At 38.0% G+C, this 24,836-nt stretch overlaps 1 protein-coding gene across 4 annotated transcripts in view; it reads right to left on the minus strand.

Moving 5' to 3' along the window:
- COL9A1 (collagen type IX alpha 1 chain) overlaps positions 1-9,791 on the minus strand; it is an 88,024-nt gene extending 78,233 nt beyond the window's left edge. For 3 of the 4 annotated variants that reach the window (XM_011535429.4, NM_001851.6, NM_001377291.1), the window contains exons 1-5: positions 9,618-9,791; positions 8,708-8,781; positions 7,016-7,093; positions 6,750-6,882; positions 874-1,270 (exon numbers count right to left, since the gene is read on the minus strand). In XM_011535429.4, the coding sequence (XP_011533731.1) occupies positions 874-1,270; positions 6,750-6,882; positions 7,016-7,093; positions 8,708-8,781; positions 9,618-9,631 (696 nt within the window). In that variant the 5' untranslated portion in view covers positions 9,632-9,791. Of the gene's footprint in view, positions 1-873; positions 1,271-6,749; positions 6,883-7,015; positions 7,094-8,707; positions 8,782-9,617 lie in introns of those variants that run through there. The other variant, XM_017010246.3, reaches the window with a different exon arrangement.

Here is a 24,836-nt window from a genome sequence, read left to right on the forward strand (position 1 = left end):
CTAAATTCCTATCATAATATTATAAAACATCCTTTTAAAGCATTGCTCAAAGTATAACAATTCAAAATGATAGAACTATCTTGTACTAGTTGGCACAATTATTGTGTCAACATGTAATTCCTTACCTTTATATCTGGGGATCTCTGCAGTAAAATCATGAACAGAGCTCTAAAATCCTTCACTTCTACAATACGTCGTGCAAGACCTACTTCTAAATAAATCAATATTATGCATCTATATAACTTTCATTCTTGTTGACCAGACATCATATGGCTTTCTAACCTCATCTCTCACCACTCTGAAGATAGTATGTCTCACCCTCCTCTCTCTCTCTCTTTCACACACACACACACACACACACACACACACACACACACACACATTTTCATATACATATATCATCCAAATCAGCGAGTCCCTAGGCCTTTGAATGTGATCTACTTATTAACTTTTTCCCTTAATGGTGTTTCCCTCAGCTATAATGTACTTTCTCCTCTCTTTTTGCCAATCCAAATCCTTTCATTTCAAAGTGCATTGCTTCCAAGAAGCATGGGATTCTTGACTAACTGAATCTGTCACCTACCTCAACCTTACTTTGAATATTTTTATTAGTTATGTGTACACAATATGTGCCACATCAGTATGGCTTTCTTTCTAAGTTGCCTCAGAAAGACTCTGGGTGCACTAGGTGGGCATGTAACACTTTCCAACTTTAAGCTCCTCAAGACCAGAAGCTATCTACTTAACTTCCTCTGATTCCAAATTCCATCTGGGACATGCTGCACTCAGCTGATTATCAAAGATGCTTGAGATGTTCATTTTTACCAATCTAGTTTTGCTTTAATCTGCCATAGTGTGTGGTTTTATACTTACTGGAACAGAAACTTGAGGATTATCTGCAAGTTTTCCCAGCACAGCAAAGCCATCAATGTCAATTGGGCCTCTTGGCTTTATAGGTAAAGATTCAATCCTGTTGCAGTCAACAAAAAGAGTAGCACTACTCCTCTCCACGCCAATCATGATCTTATGCCACTGGGAATCAAACAAGGAGGACAAATTCGAAAAGGCTGCTGTTTGGAGACTTCCATCCAGTCCCTTGTATGAAAATACAACAGATTGTGTTTGGCCATTAATCTTTATGCCAACTTGCTCCTTCCCAGAGGAATCCTGAATCTGCCAAATGTTCCAGTTCTTTTTGAGAGTGCTTCCAGTCATTCGAAACGTCGTCAAGAAGGAGTATTCTTCAGGCAGTCCACTGGGATATAAATTCCTGAGTAAAATTTTTAAATAGTAAACATGCATCTTGTTTCCTGTACCCATATGTATTTACCACATTCCCTTTTGAGGCCATTTTAGATGCCAGACCTATAGAAAAGCTACAGTGTAAAAACCTATGTACCGTTTGTTCTTTCATGACTGTTCATAAAGACCTTTACAGAAGTTCAATCATTCCTGTACATTCATGGTCCGTCTTAAATTACACATTTTAAAAACACCCTCCCTCATGGCTAAGGAAGGTTCCCAATGCCACATAATCCCAACAATATTACTATTTATACTACCCAAAGAGCTACTGTTCAGCAATTTCATCTCAGCCAAAAAATACATTCTTGCAAAGTTCTTGGCAATATTTCATTCACAAGTGAGAGAGGAGATCATTAGGAATGTAAATCAGCTGTACTAGCTTATGAAACAATTTAATTAAAGCAGCTAGCAGCTTCTAATTGTTTTATTTTAAAGTAGCATGTTAAGATTATTTGTTATTTCCATAATTGCTTGGGTATTCCACTCCACAATTATATCCCAGACCCATATAAGTATTTTGAGAACCAGTAACTGAGGACTTCAGGAGCTTCTTCACACTGAGGATGTTTGTCTTTTTTTAGGGAGTTCAAATTATGATGTTAAAGTAGCAGTTTGACACTGGATATGTGGCAAGGGAAAAGTGACCAATTCTTACTTCTCTACTGCAACTCTGTTGTTGCTTCTTTTTTTTTTTTTTTTTTTTTTTTTTATGGAGTCTCACTTTGTTGCCCAGGCTGGAGTGCAATGGCGCCATCTCAGCTCACTGCAACCTCCACCTCCTGGGTTCAAGTGATTCTCCTGCCTCAGCCTTCCAAGTAGGTGGGATTACAGGCGCCCACCATTATGCCTGGCTAATTTTTTGTATTTTTAGTAGAGATGGTGTTTCGCCATGTCAGTCAGGCTGGTCTCGAACTCCTGACCTCAGGTGATCCTCCTGCCTCAGTCTCCCATAGTGCTGGGATTACAGGTGTGAGCTACTGCATCCGGCCCAGTTGTTCCTTAATCTGCCAACTAAGTCTGTATCATTGCTAACTCCTTTACTGCTTTAAATGGCAGAATAAAACCAGTAGTGTCCCTGAGGCATCTCTACCCTATACAGAGACTGTGGTCTGGAGCTGCACCAGCTACCTGGATATTCTTTTGCTGAAGCCAAGCTGCTAAAAGCTGAAGACTGAACTTTAAAAATCAGCATGTTAAATGTAAGCATCATCTTTCAAGGACTTGAACATTATGTCTTTTTACATTTCTCCTTCTAAGCGTAGAAAAATTCCTAAGCAAGGAAGAAATGCTAGGCAAACTAAATGCTAATGAATTTTCTGTGCTAAACAATAAAAATTTTATATTTCTGAGAACAGTTATGGACCAGGACCCAGAATCCCAAATAACCTTCCTTCAAGTCAAATTCTTGTTATGTAGCCCTCTTTAATTTGCTAAGATCTTCTATCTTTACTTTGATTTTAATTATAAAACTTTATTATGTCTTATAACAACATAAACAAATCTTTAACTTCTTTTATACAAATATTTTTACAAGCCCTCAATAAAATAAGTCAACTATCTCAACAAATTTTATCACTTTGTTAGTTTTCTAAAGATAACAAAAAGGTTAACTTTTCATCTGAATACTCTTTCATCATAGAAGTATTTTTTTTAACCATTACTTTGTAATATGACTGGTTTGTATTTAGGGTATGGGATGAATTATTTTATCCATACATCTTTTTTTCACTGGTGACATGTATTAATCTTACTGCAAAGTTTTCAGTTCACTACCTATGTTTTATATCCCTCAAGTGTACATTTTAAAATATTCAATATGGAGCTACAGAAAAAAATTATACAAGAACCATTGACTGACCTATTTTCCCCATATGAAACTGTCTACTACATGACTCCAGATATTTGTTTTTAATATACTTCCTGTTTATCAATCAGTTTGTCATATTTTCTTTGACTTTATATTTTTCAGAATTATATCTATTCTGGAATAACCTCTAGAAGAGAAGCTAAGATTCACTATTCACAATAAAATGCACTGCCTATTGTATAATTATAAAACCTTATGGAAGTTTGTACATCTTACCTAACTTACCTCAATAAATTTGGAGCTGGGAGATACATTTTCAAAGTTTTACTCAATTGTGAAATTGGGCAAGTGTCCATTTAAATTATAAATAGATTATTTTGATTTTTATTTTTAATTAATGATTTGGATTTAACCAGATGCTTAAATAATTTATTTTATTTTTGTCCAAGATAGTTATTGTTGAAGCATGAGATTTTTTAAAAGGAAGATAAAAATCTAATGCTGCTTCTTCTCTTCCTTAAGCATTATTTTTCCAGGCTTCAACTATAGATATACTGAGCAAAACTGTAGAATTTAATCAGTTTCCTTTAAAAAGTCTATTTTGTTTCAGTTCTGGAAGTCACAGTAATGTGTTTAGGTGACTCTTGTGAAAATACAACCTGAAGTTAACTGAGGGAGTTCTCCCAATTTGTGTTTCATTCAATCTTTCCCACTCAATGAAGAGATTATGTTAAAGGTAGGAAAGAACATAATGTCTTAATTTATCTCTGACTTGGTGTATGTAATGCCAAAAACTAAAAAAGAAAATAATTAATTTAAAATGATGGAGGGTAGGTTTGAGATTGCTAAATGAATACCTCAATTACAGATACATCGTTAAACTAATGGTAGCTGTCTCTTTCTCTCCGTATATATGAAGATAATATATGTGTGTGAATATATGTAGAAATAATTTAGATTATCATGTTATTGATCTTTGATCCTTTAAACTAGGCTAGTATAGTAGTCAATATGGTAAGAAGAGAAAATTTATTTTGGTATTCATACTAATAAAATATATATGTAGTTGTATATACCTAAGACCACTTAAAAGTCTCACAAGTCTAATTTATAGAACAGTCAGCTCCATTGTCTTTTCTTGGAATACCCGAAATTCGGTTCTTGCAAATATGCTATGCACATCAATAAGTAAACTTGACAGCATACATAATTTAAAAGGAGCTGTATCTATAAATGATTTATTTTATTATATTACAGCCTTCAAAGAGTACCTTAAGTGAAGAATCATAAGGGTTTGAATGAAAGATTAAATAGTCTTTGGACCTTGAAACATTTGTTTGTGACCTTAACCCAAAAAAGACCGTGTTTTTAAGGAAAATAAACATAACACGTTTGTTAGTGGGAGTTGAGAGTGTAAAACGATTATGCTTAAAATAAGGAATAAAAAACAGCAAAAAAAAAGTATGTGTCTCTTAAGTCTTTCAAAAAAAAAATAGAAAAGATAAATAAGGATAAACTGTGACTCTGTCACATTAGTTCCATATACCGTAATATTTTCCTCCCACAAAGATCCTGCTAATAGTTTCTTTCACTGTCTCAGAGCCTATGTTCTGTAGCACAGAAAGTCCCTTTATAGGAACATTGTCTACACCTCGTATGGCCGAGAGCAATTCCCATCCCTAGTCTCCTTGTCAACCAGCTTTTGAATTGGCAGGACTTGGGAGGCAGATTATAAAGAAAGGATCCTCTAAGGAGAAAAGACTTTCATATACATGCATTTTCTCCTTCTAGTGCTCTTCACCACTAATAATAAACACTTACCCAATACCAGTGTGGACTGGGCTCTTGAAGCACTCTCCAGTTATGAACACCTACTCTACATAGCAACCTCATGACAGAGTTACTATTCCTAATTTTAAACTGAGGGAACTGAAGTAAAGATAGTCTAAGTACTTTCCCAAGAATAAACTTTACTGTTTACTTGGAATTCCACATGTCTGAGTCTCTAACTTTCCTCCTTCTCTTTTTATTCTCCTACTTTCTTTTCCTAATTTCTTCCTCCTTCTTTCCTTATCTTTTAACAAGCCTTGACAGTAAAACAAGATTTTTTAGTCCTTATGGGGGCAGGGAGTCAAGGGTAGCAAATGTGAGACATTAAATATAGCCTGGGTACATTATTTAGTGACAGCTCTAGACAACAACGAAGATGAGCAGGAGGTAAGGAAGCCACGTGGCATCAAATTAATCAATCTCTGAACTTAAGAGTTAATGACAGTACCTCAAACCTTAGAAGAGAAAATCAGGTCAGCACTGAGGACCTCATGTTTTGCTTAATTATTTAAGAAAGAAAAAACTGAATTTTTAAAGCTTATTTAGCAACACGACTGGCACTTCCATACATGAAAAGAAATTATGAGGAAAAAAAAGTGAATTCACTGTTATCATGGTTTTAATCTTTCCAGATGTGAATGGTTTTCCAGAGTCAGTATGGAGTAGTGGTTAGAAGTAAAACCTTTGCAACCATTCTGCCTGGGATTCAGTCCTTCCAGCACATTCCAACCCACTCACCTTATGCAAGTAAATTAAACTTTTGGGGATCCCTGATTTAAGAAAAAAAAGGTTAATAATGACCCTATATCACAGGGTTGTGATGAGAATGAAATTAATGTTAATTAGTAAATTTATAGAAAGAGCTCATATAATGTACTATTGTTGTATTATACAATAATATATAGTAGGTTCAAAATATGAATTTCTAGCTGTAATCTGGTACTATTATATCAGATTCTTCTAATTTGTTCAAAATTTTTATTTTTATATACATTGAGTTTCTATATTATCTTATTGTTCTAATTAATCATTATTTATCTTTATAACTTAATTTCTATTGAAGTCCTAATTGTCTCATTTATCTACTAAAGGAATTTTAATTCTAGTTTTTTTATAGTGTGCTAAAGCATATAATAATTATCATAATCATAAATAAGGTATTTAGGTGATATCAAAACTAAATTGCTGAGATTCATTCATAATGATGACAGGACTCAACACTTACACACTAAAGTACCTCAGTTTTAAATAAAGAGCAAAAGGCTTAGTTCCAGAGAAAGAAATCAGTGAAGTGGAGGATTTGATGTCGTTAGTATTACTATCATTGTTTCTATTATAATTATTTTAGTTTTGCTTTGGTTTGATGTCTGCCAGAAGCCAAGCAGTGGACGTGTGGCTCCATTTCAGCACCAGGACACTTGAACAGCACCATTGTGAGTCTTCTAACCACTCTGTGGCTCCTAGTTAAATTTATGCTTACCCTCTGGCACTTTTCACAGAGGGTCCTTTCAGTCAAAACCAGACAAATTATAGAAAAACAGAAAGCAAGGTAATAAGAACATGTCCTGAATCAATGTATAATAGTCTCAGTGATGCTTTTTCCTGGAATGGAAAGTAAATTACATACTGAAAACATGAAATGCAGTATTAAGGTACTGAAGATAGGCAGGTAAATAAATTTCTTCATCTTTAAATACAATTATAATCCAAGAAACATTGATCATAAGAAAACTCTAACATTGGATAGCTATCCATTTTTAATGCATTTGAGTCAGATAATTAGATTAAAATATTTTTGATAGATTACCTAGTTGGAATCCTGAAGTCTACATTATTTCCCAACTTGTAAGCCACCTGCAATGTAGCTGATCCCACTACTCTCTGGATAGCTCTTCTAGATGCTGCTTTATCTACCTGGAACTGAGAGATCAGATCAAACCCTATAGAATGGGAATACAAAATGAAAAGTCTAAAATGAGATTGGTTTTATTTCTTTCCACAACTTTCCCAAATAAAAAAAAAAATCAGGTTTATAGAAAGCATGCATTTTCAATAGGGTACATTGCTACTCACCTGGTAAGTCATCTTGGCCAATCCTGATCTTTGGACAGAGTTCATTTCCACCATTAGAATTGGAATTGACAGGGAATCCTGCAAAAGAGATAGCATGTCATTCTACTTCATCCACTCTAACTTAAAGTATAATAATAATAAAATAAAATAAAATAATAATAATAATAATAAAATTTAGAACCAGAAAATAGCAATTGACCACAAAAAAAAGATTTCAGGATGTATCAATAATAATAAATATTTAAAATTCAATATTATACCAGCTTGCTTAGAGGTAAAGTGTTTGGCTTTACCTCCATGCCTCTACGATTATAATCTGTCCACCTGCAACTCATCCTGGAAGGGGTGGATGCAAGGCACAAAGTTGCTCTAATAATCTGGCTGGGAAAATGTTCGTTTTGAAGAGGTTAGGCATTTGTTCCTTTTGAAACCAAAGCTGAATGGTGTCCTGAATGGCACAGGGTCAGAAATCTGTTTGGAAAATTCCTGGTGGTTTGGGCTAGAAAATGTTCCTTAAACACCACAAATTTTAGGATTCCAGTGAGATTCCAGAGCCAACCTTGGTCCAGTTCAGTGGGGCTTCTGGAGAGTAGAGTTCTTAGGAATCTTTGTCAGATATAGGGGCCTGGGGAAGTCTTGAGATTCACTAATCCTAAATAAAATATAGAGGATGGATTTGATTTCATAAATTCGTTCTAAGAGATCAAATAAAAGTCCCGACTAGATTAATCCTAACATCTTAGAACTGGGAAGAGTAAAAAGAAGAAGAAAATAATCATGAGAAGGATTAAATCCTCAATTTGATAAGAAATCATAGAATGGAATTGTGTTCTCCTTACACAAATGGAAGGTCAAAGGGAAGAGAGATTTTTCACCACCACAGAAGGCTTCTTGGAAATATCCAACCTCAGTGCCTTGCTAAGATTCATCTGACAACAGAGACTCTCTAGACTTCAAAAAAAGTATTATTCAGTTACAAAGCATAGGCCCGGCGCTGTGGCTCACGCCTGTAATCCCAGCACTTTGGGAGGCTGAGGCAGGTAGATCACCTGAGGTCAGGTGTTCAAGACCAGCCTGACCAACATGGTGAAAGCCCGTCTCTACTAAAAATATAAAAAATTAGCCAGGCATGCTGGCACATGCCTGTAGTCCCAGCTACTTCGGAGGCTGAGGCAGAAGAATCACTTGAACCTGGGAGGCGGAGGTTGCAGTGAGCCGAGATTGTGTCATTGCATTCCAGCCTAGGTGACAGAGTGAGACTTCATCTCAAAAAAATAAAAATATAAATATAAAAAAGCATGGGCCTAACCATAATGGTACATCAAACATGCTCTTTATACTCTCCTCACCCCAAATTGTTGAGGTCCATCCATCCATCAGTCTATTTATTCATTCATCCATGTATTCACCCAACATTTACCAATCACCATCTGTACTAGGCACTGCACTAGGCACTGCAGCTCACAGATTGGCCTTCCTACCAACTGTGATTACTGACAGGACTTACTTTCCATACCCAGCATTGACCATGGAAAACCAGAACCTAATGTATCCCTGTGCCCCAAAGCTGGATTGAAGAGTGAGGGTGTGAAGGACTATGAATGCCTCACTCAGTCTTCAGTCAGCCACAGCCCTGCCTGATCATTTCTGGGAATAAGTGATCTTTGAAAGTCTAGAAACTATGGCCCTTACTGGGGCGACGCTTGACAGCTGCAGATGCCCAGGGTTCCAGGAAACTGCACACAAAGAAGAAAACTGGAATTTTCCTGAAGAAGAGAGAAGAAAAATGACTGAAACAGGAGTCCCCGCAGATGGAAAACACTTCCATATTTTCAAACCTAGTAAACCTAATTAATGTAAGGTGATCAAATCACAGTATAGTTTTTTTTTCATTTCTTTTTTTTTTTTTTTTTTTTTTTGAGACGGAGTCTCGCTCTGTCACCCAGGCTGGAGTGCAATGGCGCGATCTCGGCTCTTTGCAACCTCCACCTCCTGGGTTCAAACGATTCTCCTGCCTCAGCCTCCTGAGTAACTGGGATTACAGGCACGTGCCACCACACCCAGTTACTTTTTCTATTTTTAGTGGAGACAGGGTTTCACCATGGTGGTCAGTCTGGTCTTGAACTCCTGACCTCGTGATTCGCCCGCCTCGGCCTCCCAAAGTGCTGGGATTACAAGCATAAGCCACCGCACCCAGCCTTCATTTTTACTTTGAAACCCTACTGAGAGATGTAAGGAACTCATGTTTCCAGACCCCACTGTCGTTGTTGTTTTATTGATCTCACCTTCTCGGTATCTACCTATCTCACTGTTTTGGTACCTATTTCTTTGTCTCTGGTTTCTTTCACCTTTGATTTCCTTCCTCTCTTTTTCTGTGGCCGTCACTTTCTCTCCCTTCCTCTGTCTGTCTTCGGTTTTTTGTGTCTGTCTTCGGTTTCTCACGCTTGCCCTCTTGTCTTACTCTCTCATCCGTCTCTCTTTCTGTCTCTCACCTTGAGGCTCACCTACTCTCATCTTACCACTGCTGCAAAAATACAGACCCTTGGTTCTGAGGACCCCCAGCTCCATCTCCCCACCACTCTTTCCAGGGTTATTGTCTTACCAGCAGGTCTTCATTTTCCCAGTTGATTTTCTTTGTTTGCCAACAGTCCCTATGAAGAAGGGGTTGGAAGGGAGTCACTGTCCCCTCACGACCCCTTCACTGTTACCCTAGGACTATGTGTTCTGGGCCCAGCCTTGGTCCCTCCTGCCCCCGGTGAGGGCTAAAAGCAAAGGGAGAGAACCAGAGGCATCTCGTGACACTTTAAACTGAAGCAAAGGAAAGGGGTGGGGAGAAGCAGCGCTCTGAGCCCAGGCCTAGGGGTGTGTCCTCAAAGCTAACAAGGTTATACTGAAGGAGGGATTTACAGGGGAAAGTTTGCTGAAAAGAAAAAAATAAAATCAGGATGTGGGGAAATTCACCAGAAAGATCCAGGCAAGGTGCTATAGGAACACAGTAGATGCTTTTAGATCTGCTATAGGAGTACAATGGCAGCTTTCAGAACTGCTATAGGAATACAGTGGAAGCTTTCAGAGGGCTGAGGTTCCAGTAAAAATGTGCCCACTGGGAGGCAGAGGTGTGGAAACTCGTGGGAGCCTTGGTGCCCGATCAACCTAAGTTTCAATCCCTGTTTATTCTGAAGCTTACTAGCTGTGTGTCCTTGAGAGAGTTACTTCACCTTTCTGTAACTAGATGCCCTAACTGTAAAACAGATTGAAAATGCTTACATTAAAACAATGGTTTTGAGAATTAAATGAGGTATCAAAGGCAGAGGGTCTAACACCCAACAATCATTATTTGTCATCGTCTTCATAGCTAACGCTTCATTATGCACCTCCGTCTGTTGAAAATGCTCAAAGCTTAATGCCATTTAATTCTCACAACAACATTATAAGGTAAGACTGAAGTTACCCTTATTCTCCAAATAAGAAAGTTGAGGAAGCAGAAAATGAAGTAACTTTTTCAAAGTGCCATGCCTATTACTAAATACACATTCCCTCTCTCTACCTCATGGATAGAAATCCTGATAAAATGTAACATCAAGCCCCCTACTTGTTGTTTATTCTTAAACTCTGAGACTACCAGAGTTGAGCAGAGGACACTGTATCTGGAAAGAAGCAACATATTATCCTCCGTTAACAAGGTGAGAGCAAATTACAAGGAGCACAAACCTAGAGAGAGGCATGTTATCAGCATCGCTACCACACATGCCATGCCGTCTCTCCAGAACCTGAGCACCTAAAGAGAATTCCCTATAGCCCCCACATCACCCCCGTTACCACCCACTCAGCATGGCCAACCTCTGGCCTTGTCTTGAGGGACACGGGTGGTTACTCCAAAAACCAAGACTCTAAAGGTCAGAAGATCCAATGATCTCAAAAATCACAGTACAAGCAAAGTAATTTTTAGGTGAACTTTTTTTTTTTAAGAGACAGGGTCTCAGGTCTCGCTCTGTCCCCCAAGCTGGAGTACAGTGGCATAATCATAGCTCACTACAGCCTTGAACTTCTGGGCTCAGGGGATTCTCCCACCTCAGCCTCCTGAGTAACTGGGATGATAGTCATGCACCACTGCACCTGGCTTCTTGAAATTTTTAAATTTCGTTTTCTAATTGATTTAATTTTTATTTAATTACAAAACAATAGCGTTGCTTCTTATTTTTCATTTGTTTATTTCTTTTCCAAAAAAGTCCTTTCAGTTTCTGCCTCCCCCAGCTCACTGATGAAATGTAAATCAGGCAAACTTAATATCCATGCTTTTGCCCTTTTATTTTCTACTCATAGCCCACCTGTTGGAGTCCTGTCTCTCTTTCCCAGAGGGACACCCATTTCCTCATGCTGTTTGGGGCTTTCTACAAGTCCCTGTCATTTGCCTTCTGTCTATCAAAATTCCCATTCCCTAGTGCAGCCATCCTGGCTCTGTGACAGAACTACAAATGACCAGATCTTAGCTTATTTGTTTAAGTCAGTCAGGGCTCATGAGAAAGAAGCGGTCTATTAACCTCAGAGGAGAAACTGCAGCTGGGGACCTTCCTGACATCCTGAAGTCACAGGAGGTAAGCCAGCCAGAGATTCACAGGGGAAAAGGCATTTTCCAAAGGGACTGTCCATTGAAGCTATTTATTTGCATGATTGATCCTCTCATATTACTTACTCTGGTAAGAAAGGAGAGAGGGATTTTTCATTATAATGAAGTGTTTGGGAAATCCTTTCATTGCTTTAGAGATCTCAATTCCGCATTTGCCCCTCTCCTTCCCACTGTAATGAATCCTCTTCAAGTAGAATTTGAAATCAAGTGAGGGTGCCTTTTAATTAAAAATGAAAGGATAGAGAGAAAAATAGGTTTGCTTATAGGTGGTGTGGCTTTTTTCTAGCTTGGCAGTTTTATTTAAGATGGTAGGAGCAAGCAAGAGCTATTTTAAGAAAGAAAGTAGGCTGGGCACAGTGGCTCACGCCTGTAATCCCAGCACTTTGGGAGGCCAAGGTGGGTAGATCACCTGAGGTCAGGAGTTCGAGACCAGCCTGGCCAACATGGTGAAACCCCATCTCTACTAAAATACAAAAATTAGCCAGGCCTGGTGGCACGCGCCTGTAGTCCCAGCTACTCGGGAGGCTGAGGCAGGAGAATCGTTTGAACCCAGGAGGCGGAAGTTGCAGTGAGCCGAGATCACACCACCGCACTCCAGCCTGGGTGACAGAGTGAGACTCCATCTCAAAAATAATAATACTAATAAAAAGAAAGAAAGTAAATCCAGGCCAGGCAGGGTGGCTCATGCCTGTAGTCCCAGCACTTTGGGAGGACAAAGGCAGGCGGATGACTTGCACTCAGGAATTGGAGACAAGCCTGGGCATCATGGTGAAACCCCATCTCTACAAAAAATACAAAAATTAGCCGGGCACAGTGATGCACACCTCCAGTCCCAGCTACTCAGGAGGCTGAGGCAGGAGGATCTCTTGGGCCTAAGGAGCTTGAGGCTGTAGTGAGCAGTGATTGCACTACTGCACTCCAGCCTAGGCAAGACAGTGAGGCCCTATGTCAAAAAAAAAAGAAAAGAAAAAACAAAAAACAAAAAAGAAAGTCGATCCAGAGAGAACAAAGATATATACAATATTATTTAAGGAAATTTTTTTTCCTCCCTCCACTCCCATTTTCTATTAATCTTGTTTCCTAACGCGACATTAGAATCTCACAGACAGCAGTGCAAATGCCACACTATTCTGGTCTGGGTCAGTTGCACCCTAAGGTCATAGACGCATAAGCTTTTTCACCCTTAGCATTATTTCCTCACCTTACCTAACAGTTTGGTTCTGAAAAACCATGTAGAAATGAAATGTGGTCAATCATATCAGATTATAAATGAACTAAGACAGCTTAATATTTAAAATGATCCATTTTATAAATAGAAGTGTTTTGTATAGAACAGTTATACTTTTCTTTGTACCTCCTCTCATCCCTCCCCCACATACTTTTTCACAGAATGCACACACACTAATCTCCTTCTTCTTATAAATCAAGAATATTATTTACTTAAAGCTTAAATCGGGGAACATCATCACAAATAATCATCTTTCTTGATCATCTGCTTTCTTCCCTTTGTTTATTCAATCATGTATTGAGTAACTATATACAGTAGTATATGTATCAAGTATGTGCTGGGAGGTGAGGAAGCAAAAAGTGTGAATAAACACAGCCTTGCCCTGAGGAAGCTGACAATCCAGCATGGAGGACCAATATGAAAGCGACCACAATTCAGAGAATAAGAAGGCTGTAGTGTCACTGAGAACAAGTATTAGCATAATCCAAGGGCATCGGGAAATTTTTAATACAAGAGATGAAATCGTGAAGGATACTAAGGCTACTAAGAGAATAAGTGGGTGCAGTATGTTTTAGACAGAGAAAACAGAAGATACTATAACAAAAAGGTAAAAGAGGACATTTGGGAAGCAAAGAATCCTTTCATTTGGTAAATATCTATTGATGCCTCTTCTACCATGCTCCCTGAGTGACCTTAACACCAGAGAGACAACCAGAGAAAGATCAGGTCCCTGCCCCTATGCAGCTTACACACTGGTGGGAAGAGAGGTACTAAACACATTTACAAGAATAGACAAAATAATTTCAGGTGGAAACATTATGAAAAATATAAAAGAAGACAATGTGTCATAGAGTCTGTAGAAGGTTTAGAAGCTGGTCTAGGTTGAGGGGTTAGGGAAGGCTGCTTTGAAGTCGTTAATTTTGACTCAGACCAGATGAGAATAAAGAGATAAGATTGGTGGGTAGATTGGAAAAGGGGTGGGGGACAGGAAAACTACCTGGTTTTGAGCTTGAGCAACTGAGTAGATGGTGATGTCACTTTCTGAAATCACAAGTAGGAGGACCACGGGGGAGGAGTTGGGTAAAGGATCTTGAATGACATCAAAAGAAAGCATAGACATTATTCTGGCTGTTATAGGAACTGAGAGAAGAGTTTGAGGCCAATAATGACTTTTTTGGATGTGTCTTTAGAAAGACAGTTCTGGTGTTGCTTGGAGGATGGATTGAATGGGCTTTATTACTACGTATACAGATACACAACCAGAACAAAAGTTTCAGAAAGCAATAGTTACTCATATAAATGTATTAAATTACTTTATAATCAGTGAAAGGTCAGTAAAATGTAGAATTATAAGTGCCTAGTGACTTAATAGGAGGAAATATGGAAGGTTAAGGAAGGAAGTAGGAACCTGGAATAAGAAAGCTAAGTTTCATTTATAGCTCCGATGAGTGACTTTCTTTGTTTTCACCATTGGGAATCTTAAATGAGGAAAGTGTCGTATCCCTTCCAGTTATCTTTATGTTAATAAACTAAGTGAAGATTGGACAGAACTAACAAAGGAATTAGTCTCCAATGGTGGACTTCCAGAGTTTTGAGATTAAACTTTGAGAGGTGAGAAGCCTTCCTGATGCCCCTGTAATCTTAAATTGGCAGGTGTCTCTAAGTGAGGCCATCCCTCTTTGCCTGCCTATCATTTTAATCTTTATACTGTAACTGGTTCCTTTCAACTCTGGCCTTTTATTGTAGCACTTTTATCAAGTCTGCAGCTTCCCAGCTACTTGGGAGGCTGAGGTGGGAAGAACACTTGAACCTAGGAGTTCAAGACCACTCTGGGCAACATAGTGAGTCCCTGTTTTTAGAAAAATAAATAACCTTTAGCTTTTTGCTATAGAAAATATCCAAATAGAGTCTGGACAATGCTGGATGTAAAGAAAACTGTGAAGCTACCTCTAAGCATATTGTTTGTAAATACTGTGTACCATTTAGAGGATAACATGGGGGATTCACATGAAGTTATGTGAAAATATTTTATAAGGAATAATACCTAAGTGCCTCTCTTACAGTTCTCCAGTAGAATGTATTTTCAATTTTTGCCACAAGGGGGAGAAGTTATTTTTATAGTAATATGTACATTTTTTTATTTTAAAAATAGAATTCACACAACTTTACAGCATCTATGAACATTTTGCTATCCTAATTATGTGTGTGTGTGCATGTGTGTAAACAAGATTCTGAAAGTCTTGCATGAGAAAAATTTCAAAGGAAATTAATAACAAAACCAAAACAGTTTTGAAGAATGTGCACAGTGGACACAGGAATTGAACAAAGTTTACCATGATTAAAATTATGTTTTCTTAGTTAAAAAATAAATAAATAAATGTAATATATTCTATTTTCTGTTTTATTATATTTCATTTTTGAGTGATGATAACCAAATCAGTGAGTACATTTCAGGACCAACTGATGGGTTACAACTCATGGCTTAAAAAACATTCGATTAGAAAAGAGTAGACACTAGAAGTGCCAAAGGATCTCTTTCCCCTTGTTTCCTGGTATGGGCACAATAGTTGGGATGCCCCATGAAACTCATAGAATAGTAGGGCAAGTTCCTTAGTTTTAACATGACTATATATATTTTTTAAAACATTCTTTTGAAGTAGCTGTAAATTGAGAGTTTTAATTAAACATACCACAACCCCCATATTTAATGAGTTCATAGGTTAAATTAAAGAAGAAGTATTTTTAAAACTAGCTTCCTAATGGTATTTAATTTTAAGCTTTATTCCATCTATCTTTACTTTAAAATAAAAGACCCAAGATGCCTAATGGCACCTACCAGTTGTGTGAGGATGCTGCAAATTAGTCACAGCTAGAGCCTGAAATTTATCACAGAAATCTCTGGCTGAGAGGCTGATTAACAATTAGAGTTGCTAAAACTAGGACTCCCACAGTTTTACATTGGGTTCAGTTTTACTGTAAAGAAATTTCACCATAATCAAAGCTCTATTTTTAATCTTCTTATTTTGGCCCAATACTTGTAATTGTAGCCTAATCATCTATAGCAAGCACATAGAGCCCATGGCCGTTTTTTCTCTGAAATCACTCACAAACAAATGTGTTCTCACCATAGAACATTAATACAAAAACAGGTCATTTAATGTAAAATTCCCCCACTCCTAAGCTTTTCAGCATATTACTTTTGCTCTCTCTAAAGTATGAGCATTTCCATCTCCCCAAGGAGGAGAAAAATCAATTCCCCTCCATAGCACACGTGCTTCCAGGAGCTGTTGCTGCATTTGCTGCCTTGTGAGTCTTAGGTCTACAGCAGCTGATTCATGTCCTAAGCCTCTTTTGCTCCCTTCAATGAAACACACTTATTGGCCCAATCAGTATGTTTCTTTACCTACTGTAAAGCCCTGAATCTTGTCTCATCAATAATACCTTCCCTTTCATAATGCTCTATGGTTTTCCAAGACCATTTCTTACCACAATTTCATGGCTTGTTAAAAACATACTCCTGGGCATTACCCCCAGAGGTTCTGGTTCAGGATATTGAAGATCAGTCTGAGAATTTGCATTTCTAGCAAGCTCCCAGGTGATGCCAATCTCCTGCTGATCCACTGAGAAGTGCTGCCCATATAGGTCATGTTTTCAACACCGTTAGGCTACCTCTCCTTTGTTACAATTGGCATTGACTTGTAGACTGTAAGTGTATGAGTATTTGTTTAATAAAATTTTAAAATAATTATCAGTTGAACCCATAACTCCTACTGAGAACTTTTGATCTCATGAAAGGAAATTGTATTGATTTCCTTACTAGACATTAATTAAGGAAATTTACATGGCAGAATGAAGTATAGAAACCTAAGCCTTCTCTTCTGCACTATTGTCCTTTAACAACCTACTACTACTAATAAAAGTGTGTACCTGAATTGCACGTTAACCTTTACCAATAAAATGTAAAAAGGTCATTGCTTCTCAAATACCTCGTTCTCTTTTATGAAATAAACTTTAAATATACCTTGTTTTAGGTTGCATCTATGAAGTTTCATATGCATTTACTAGCTTTCACATGCTGGGAAAATGTTTTCTCTGCACTAGGTGGCAGTATAATCCTGAAATTTGAAACCTAAGCTAAGGCATCAAAGACGAATTTGATTTCCAGTCTTCAAGTAGATAACTTTGATTTTAAGAAAATATTTCATTCTTGGTTATTTTCCATATGTATAAATTGAAGTATTGTAATTGACTTCTTTTTAGGGTTCCTCTCAAAAAAATGTGCAAATACAATGCACCCTGAGGTTCATGAGAGCCTACTGAAGGAGAAAGACACTAAACGAAAGATTAAAATTAACTCTGCCTTCATAGATGAGCCATCCACTCTGACCTCACTAACCACCACCAATTTCAGCCTTATAACTAAACAGAGCCAAACTCAAGGTTAAGAATGTGGGCTCTGGAACCAGATTGCTTAGGTTCAAATCTCAGCTCTACCACTTTCTAGCTGGGAGACCATGGAGAGGTAATTAACCTTTCTGACTCATCTTATTTATCTGTAAAAATGAGTAATGAAAGCACTTACCTTATAGGTATACTATAAGGATCAAACTAGAGCCAAAAACAGTACCTGGCACTCAATAAATTTTAGCTACAATTTTTCTTATAACTCACTCTCCTCTGCTTTCTTCTTTGATTCAACCCCAATCTGTCCAGTAAATGGTGGTTCATTTAGATCTTAGAAGAGTGTGGCTGTGCTAAATACTAAAAACTATCCTAGACAATATACAACTACTCAAAAAACCCATTATAGATAGCAAGGTAAATCAATTGAAAGCCCCCTTCTCCCTTCCATATGCACATCTTTGTCTGTTTGCTACACTTTTATGATTCTTCCTCCTGTAATACTGCCCTTGATAAGTCCTTCAAGCTCTTCTCATCAATAATACTTTCCCTCTCATAATACTATATGGTTTTTCAAGAACATTTCTCATCACAGTCTCATTTGTACCTCGCAACAATCCAGCAGGACAGATGTGACTCTCCTGTTTTCCTGGTGAAGAAACAGGTGAAGAGACCTGTATGAGTTCATGGTTATATGTGACAAATCTACTGACTGACTCCTGAACAGATACAAATAAAAGGCAACTCCAGTAATCACTGGTGAACCAGTCAAACAGCTATTTACAAAACACTGCATACAGGAGGACCGATGCCTACTGATTAGTCCCCTTTTGGGGACATATGTGTATATACATATATATATATATATGTATATACACACACACACATACACACCACACATATGTATATGTATACATATGTGTATATATACATAAATGTGTGTATACATGTATATAATTGGTTTCTTCATTTTAAAATATTATATGGAAAAGTAATATATGTATTTGGTAACATGTATTGTATTTAAAAGTAAGATATATATTTGGTAATAAAACAGGATGACTATAGTCAATAATAATTTAATTGCACATTTTAAAATAACTAAAAGAGTACAACTGGATTGTTTGTAACACAAAGGATAAGTGCTTGAAATTATGGATACCCCATTTACCCTATGATTAGTACTTATTGTATGCATGTATCAAAATATCTCATATACCCCATAAATATATATACCTATTACATACCCACAAAAATTAAATGTTAAAGAAGTAATATACGAACATTTTGGAAAAGTGGAAAATACAGAAATAGAAGAAAGAGAAAAAAACATAGTCTCACCACCCAGAGACAACTCGCTATTAACATTTTAAGATGTTTTCTTCCAGTCCCTTTTCTACATACAAGCTGTGGTCATACTCTACACAGTTTTACAACTTCCTTAAATGCACACTACTTAAAACACTCATGCACGTGCTTTCACAAAATTTAAATGCAATCATATAGCACATATAAAAAGATAGCAAAACCCAGATGTAAGAACTTTGCCTTGAAGTCAAGATTATAGCTTTTAATTCTAACTGCTGTAACCTTGAGAGAGAAAACAACTATAGAGAAAGAGACACTGAGTAACTGGGAGAGGTTCTTCCAGCAGGTCTTGGTTTTTGAAAGACATTCTTTTTCTCACCCAAAGCCATGTGGGACTATAAATTTGAAGCCAACCACCTAACCACAAAACCACAAAGGCATGTGTAGACATTCCAGTGGCACCAAAGGGCAACCACAGGAGAGTCCTGCCTCCTATCGTTTCTTAAATCCAAATATCTCTGAAACCATGACTAACTCCAGGAATAGCAGTAGCAACTGACATGTGGGCAGGTGAGAAAGAGCCTTTGTTCTTAAAGACTCGACTTAGAGCCACGACAAACTGAAAGGCTCTAGCATTAGCATACTTATAGTGATTCCAGAGAGTGGTCAGTCCAGGGTGGAGCAGCAGAGATGGAAAGGCAGACAGGCAGTACCAGGATAGTGACAGAGGAGGAACAGAATCACGATTCATATTATTTCAGCCTGTCCTGGCCAAGGGCCTCGCCAGGGCTCTCAGGACTTTTTCTAGAAGTGCAGTGTAAGGAGGAAATGTCAGAAACTATACTTCATACTTTTTAAAATATATATATTTTTTATGTATATCATTCATTATTTTTGCTATTTTACAGGTGAGGCAAGTAAGGTTCAAAGACGTTAAATAACTTGCTAAGGGAAATTCCAAATGGCAGGCCAAAACCAAACGTTGGTTTCTCTAACATCAAAGCTGATGTTCTTCCTATAATTTGTCATATTCTGAGTATGCATACATGCACATGCACACACACACACACATGCACACACATACATGTGTTTAAGGACAGTCCCCGCTTCACTCTGCATCTAATTGTTCACTATTACTGTCTTTTCTTCATAAACTCTCAAGCTGGAAAACTTCAAGACTTACTAAGAAGACTTGCCCTTGTACTAATCACCAACTTGGTGCTGTAATTGTCCAAGGGCTTACCCTACTAATGCTTTGCTAAAAGCTACAAAAAAGTAGTGCTAAAATTCTCTCATACAAAATATCTCATGGAGAGTGATCATTCCTGTGTGAGTGTCCTGGACTTTATATAAACTCTTTATTATTGACTCGATTTATAGAGCATTTGTGAATTTTTTATGTATTTCTGGTATTTTTTTCTATATTTCCCTGAGGTTCTATCCGTATGTAAATTTGTCTCAGCTTCTAAATTCTCACACATTAGGGATCTTGATTACAATCTCTCCCATGCTTCATTTATTACCTACCGCAGTCAATCATTTTGTATATTCCTAGGCAGTCAAACTTCAACAAACATCGTATTTAAAGCACAGTGCTGGCTACTAAGGAGACTTTCAGAGCCAAATAATGTCTTCTCTGTCCTCAAGGAAGTAGGCGGGACACCCACACACCCCAAAACTATGGAACACACTTTGGCCTAAAAGGACTCCCCAAAAGAAAGTAGAACCATAAACAGTACTCTAGAGACAGAAAGGCAAAATGACTGATACTCTCCAGAAGGATTCAAAAGTGTTTCACAGAGGAAGTAACCTTAGCTTGACCCTAAAGAATGAATCCTATTTTACAGGCAAAAAAAGATAGAAAGTTTTACAAGGCAGTTGGAATAATGTGAACAAAAGCTCAGAGGCTTGAAAATGCATGGAGTGTAATTAATTACGTTTCAAACATAACTTAGCTTTTTTGAAAATATTGCGTGCCATCAACCCAGAAGTTGAGAAAATGCATGTTATTAAACAATATTTAGTAAGCAAATAATATGCCAAAAATGTTTATGACTTTCTTACATTAGCCTACCTTTCATATTAATATTTTGCTACTGAAAATTAAATCAACAATTCATCTGCTACAGTGGAAAATCTGAAAATTTGGATTTTGATTACAGAACAACACAGTTCTAGGAGAACCCTTATTTTGGCCCACAACGGATTCTCTATTTAGAGATTCCATCAAGACATAAAGAACACCAGGTGCCCTGATGTCAATGTCAAGGGAAAAGAGGCAAGATGTCTTCATTAGGATGTAAAAAGTCATTTGCTGTCACTTAAATTACCATTCTTTTTTTCTGTTAATACTAGTAACAGGCTACTAAGCTTGCTGAAGTTTGGTGCTAGGAAGGGTTAATGGCATAGGCAGAGAGCAATGCTTTCATTTCCTTGGAGGAAAGCTGATGGGTAAATAAAGTACACATTACTTTAAAAAAAAAATAAAGATCGAGGAGAATCTTGGGTATATACTAAGAGAGGGCTTCAAGCTGCAAGAACGAGGGCATAGTGCCAAGAATGGGAGATGCGTTATGTGCAGGGAAAAGATTTGAAATTGAAGTTGCTCTGAACAGTGAAATGAGCTCTCAAGTGGAGCCAAAGGGAGACAGGGAAAAATGCAGAATGTAGCTGCAGCAACTCCAGTGGAAATCAGCATGCCCGTGGTGAATTTCCTAAAACCTCTTCAGTCAAGTAGAACAAAATAGTGAAAAAGCAATAAAAGAATAAATGACCTAGAATTATTGGCCTTGCCAAGCATAACCTACTATGTAGCACTGGTTTCAGAAGCAGATGTAGAGAAATTGCAGCCCCACAAGGCTTCCATCACTATAGATGTTCTTTTAAGCTTTGTTATCTGATAGGACACTGTTGAACGTGTAAAATGTTATTACAAGAATCACAGGAGTAATCAGTAGAAATCTGTCTCTTGGTACAATATTGGAAAATGTCATTTGGCTATGGATTTGTACCATAATAAAGTCGTCCATAAACACACACCATAAACACAGGAAACAAGAAATAAATAACTTTAATATTATATCCAGAGGCTAAATAATAGATTGTTGGTATGTTATTGTGAGTAGTTATTTGAAAAGAAAAGAAAAAAACAAGTTAGTTGACCCTGGTTGGATTATAAATAACCATAAAAAGACCTTTTTTTAAAGCAATTGAGGGATTTCAAAAAGCCTCCAGGCTTTGCTGTGTTGCCTAAAGAGCCCTCCATGTTCATTCCTATTACTCTGTGTCCAGAATTACACTGGCTGTGAATTCAACTGTAATTTGTACAGTTGCAATTCATGTGTTACCTTTAAAAATAAACACTTTATGTGAAACCCAAGTACTACTGTTTTCTCAAATGAGAAATAGTGAAACTAATTTTAATGCAAGACTTGTCTCTCCGTGTACTATAGTTACAAAAGATCACTTATCTTCTCTCTAGCATGCTGCATGCCCAATGTTTCCAAGCCCTTCTCAAACAAGCCCCCACCTCTTCCACAAAGCTGATCTGGTACCTCCAGCCAGATATTCTCCGTTCTGCTCAATCATAGGAAGAACTATTTACATGAAATGACATTACATTCTGTTCTATAGGCAGAAGGGTACAGTAGAGAAAGCAGGGGGCATCTAAAATCAGGAAACTTAGACTTGAGCCCTTGTTCCTTTCATTAGCCTTGTAACACTACTGAGCCTGTTTCCTTTTTTGCCCAATAGGGACTTATCTTAGGGGCTCATTGTGAGGCTCAGTGAGTTAATCCATGCAGGAGAGCTGGATAAAATGTAAAGTGCTCTACAAAGGTAATTGTTATTTCAGAATTAATATTTAGGGAGCATCAGTATATGCAGGACACAGTTTTGAGCACTGCATAGTAATCAAAGCTGAAGAAGGCAGATTCCCAACTCTCATGGACCTTAAAATATAGTAGAGAAGTGAAAACATTTACCTTAATAATTAAAACACAGGGTATTAAATAGTAAGTGCTTTAAGCCATATCCCCAGAACTTCAAGTCAATTTGACAAATATTCATGAAACAGGCTCTTGAGATACAAAGGAAAACATCATGGGTCACTGTCACTTATCTGGTGGGGAGGACAGATACACAATAATTATGGTAATACCAGGCAGATAATGATAAACACTGTAGAGTAAGTGCATACATACTGGGAATTGATTAGGTCTGGGTAGATAGACACACAGAAAGGTTTTTGTCTAGTTCAGTGGTAAAGTTTGATGGGCGATAACAGAGCTTAGCAACTGTTTCTAAAGATTGAGTTTTTACTTCCAAACAAGATAAAAAAGGACCAGATCTGACATCAGATTGACCAGCTCTGTGAGGCAGGTGGATGCTGGGAAGATGTGGAGGTGACTGTGGAGATTCAGCTGAGCTGGAAAAACACTCAAGTAAGATATTAATTGTGGGTTAGGAACTTCTACAAGGCCACAGCAGAAATCAAACAGCAATGGGGTAAGAAGAGTATGGTGTAAGCAGAGGTTAAGGAACTAAGGGATAGGAAAAGATATAACAGTGGTTAAAGGAGGACAAGATTTTTTTTCTTCATTTGTTTAAAAATAATAAATTTAAAAATAACTAACACTTGTACTGTTTACTACATGCTGGGTATTGCTAGAAACATTTTACCTATATTAATTCATTTATTGCACAACCATAAGTTGTAGGTGCAATTACCCCTCAGTAGTAATGGTGAAGGTGAGATAGGGAGAGCTGACATTTATAGACTGAGAAAAAGGAGTCAGTGCAGAGAGAGATTGAAGACAAAAGGGAGGATGCCCTGGAACTCAAAATAGCAAGAGCTCAGGGATGAGGGGTTGATTGTCATTTTCCTTTCTATACTATTCTTTGACTCCTAACTTCTTCACAATAGGAATTATCACTTCCGTTTTTGTTTGTTTGTTTGTTTGTTTGTTTGTTTGATAAAGAGTCTCACTCTATCACCCAGGCTGGAGTACAGTGGCATGATCTTGGCTCACTACAACCTCCGCCTCTCGGGTTGAAGCCATTCTCCTGTCTCAGCCTCCGGAGTAGCTGGGATTACACGCATGTGCCACCATGCCCAGCTAATTTTTGTATTTTTAGTAGAGACGGGATTTCACCATGTTGGTCAGGCTGGTTTCAAATGCCTGACCTCAAGTGATCCCCCCACCTTGGCCTCCCAAAGTGCTGGGATTACAGGTGTGAGCCACCATGCCTGGCCTGCATTATCACTTTCATAATTAGAAAACTAAACAATATAAAAATAAGAGATCACTTACTTATAGTTTATATTGTTTTTAAATTATTCTATATTTCTTCTGTGTTAAAATATGCTTTCTAATAAGAAATTAGCTCCCTGCATGTAGGAAGGGTGCCTTATTTCTTCTTCCATCCCTTCAACTGGCACCGGTTTTGTGTGTGTGTGTGTGTGTGTGTGTGTGTGTGTGTGTGTGTGTGTTTTAAAGGGAACAAAATTAAGCCCAACAAAACCGAAACCCTTGTTAATATTGCTCAAAATTTAACTAACTACCCTATGTTGCTGTCTTTAAAAACTTTTTATGGTCTGTTTTTAATTATTTTGTCTTCCCTCTACTTCCCCTCTCAGTATATCACATTCTGTCACCACTATTCTTGGACCTTAGAAAATAGGAAAACCCAGGGGGAGGAGCCATGATGGCTGAATAGGAACAGCCCCAGTCTACAGCTCCCAGCGTGAACGATGCAGAAGATGGGTGATTTCTGCATTTCCAACTGAGGTACAGGGTTCATCTCACTGGGGAGTGCCAGACAGTAGGTGCACGACAGTGGGTGCAGCACACTGTGCGTGAGCCGAAGAAGGGTGAGGCATCGCCTCACCCAGGAAAGGCAAGGGGTCAGGGAATTCCATTTCCTAGTCAAAGAAAGCGGTGACAGACGGCACCTGGAAAATCAGGTCACTCCCACCCTAATACTGTGATTTCCAATGGGCTTAAAAAACGGCACACCAGGAGATTATATCCCACAGCTGGCTCGGAGGGTTCTACGCCCACGGAGTCTTGCTCATTGCTAGCACAGCAGTCCGAGATCAAACTGCAAGGCGGCAGCGAGGCTGGGGGAGGGGCACCTGCCATTGCCGAGTTAGTTGTTTGATTAGGTAAACAAAGCGGCTGGGAAGCTCGAACTGGGTGGAGCCCACCACAGCTCAAGGAGGCCTGCCTGACTCTGTAGGCTCCACCTCTGGGGGC

The sequence above is a fragment of the Homo sapiens genome, chromosome 6 (assembly GCF_000001405.40).
Source record: "Homo sapiens chromosome 6, GRCh38.p14 Primary Assembly".
NCBI classification, from domain to species: Eukaryota; Metazoa; Chordata; class Mammalia; order Primates; family Hominidae; genus Homo; species Homo sapiens.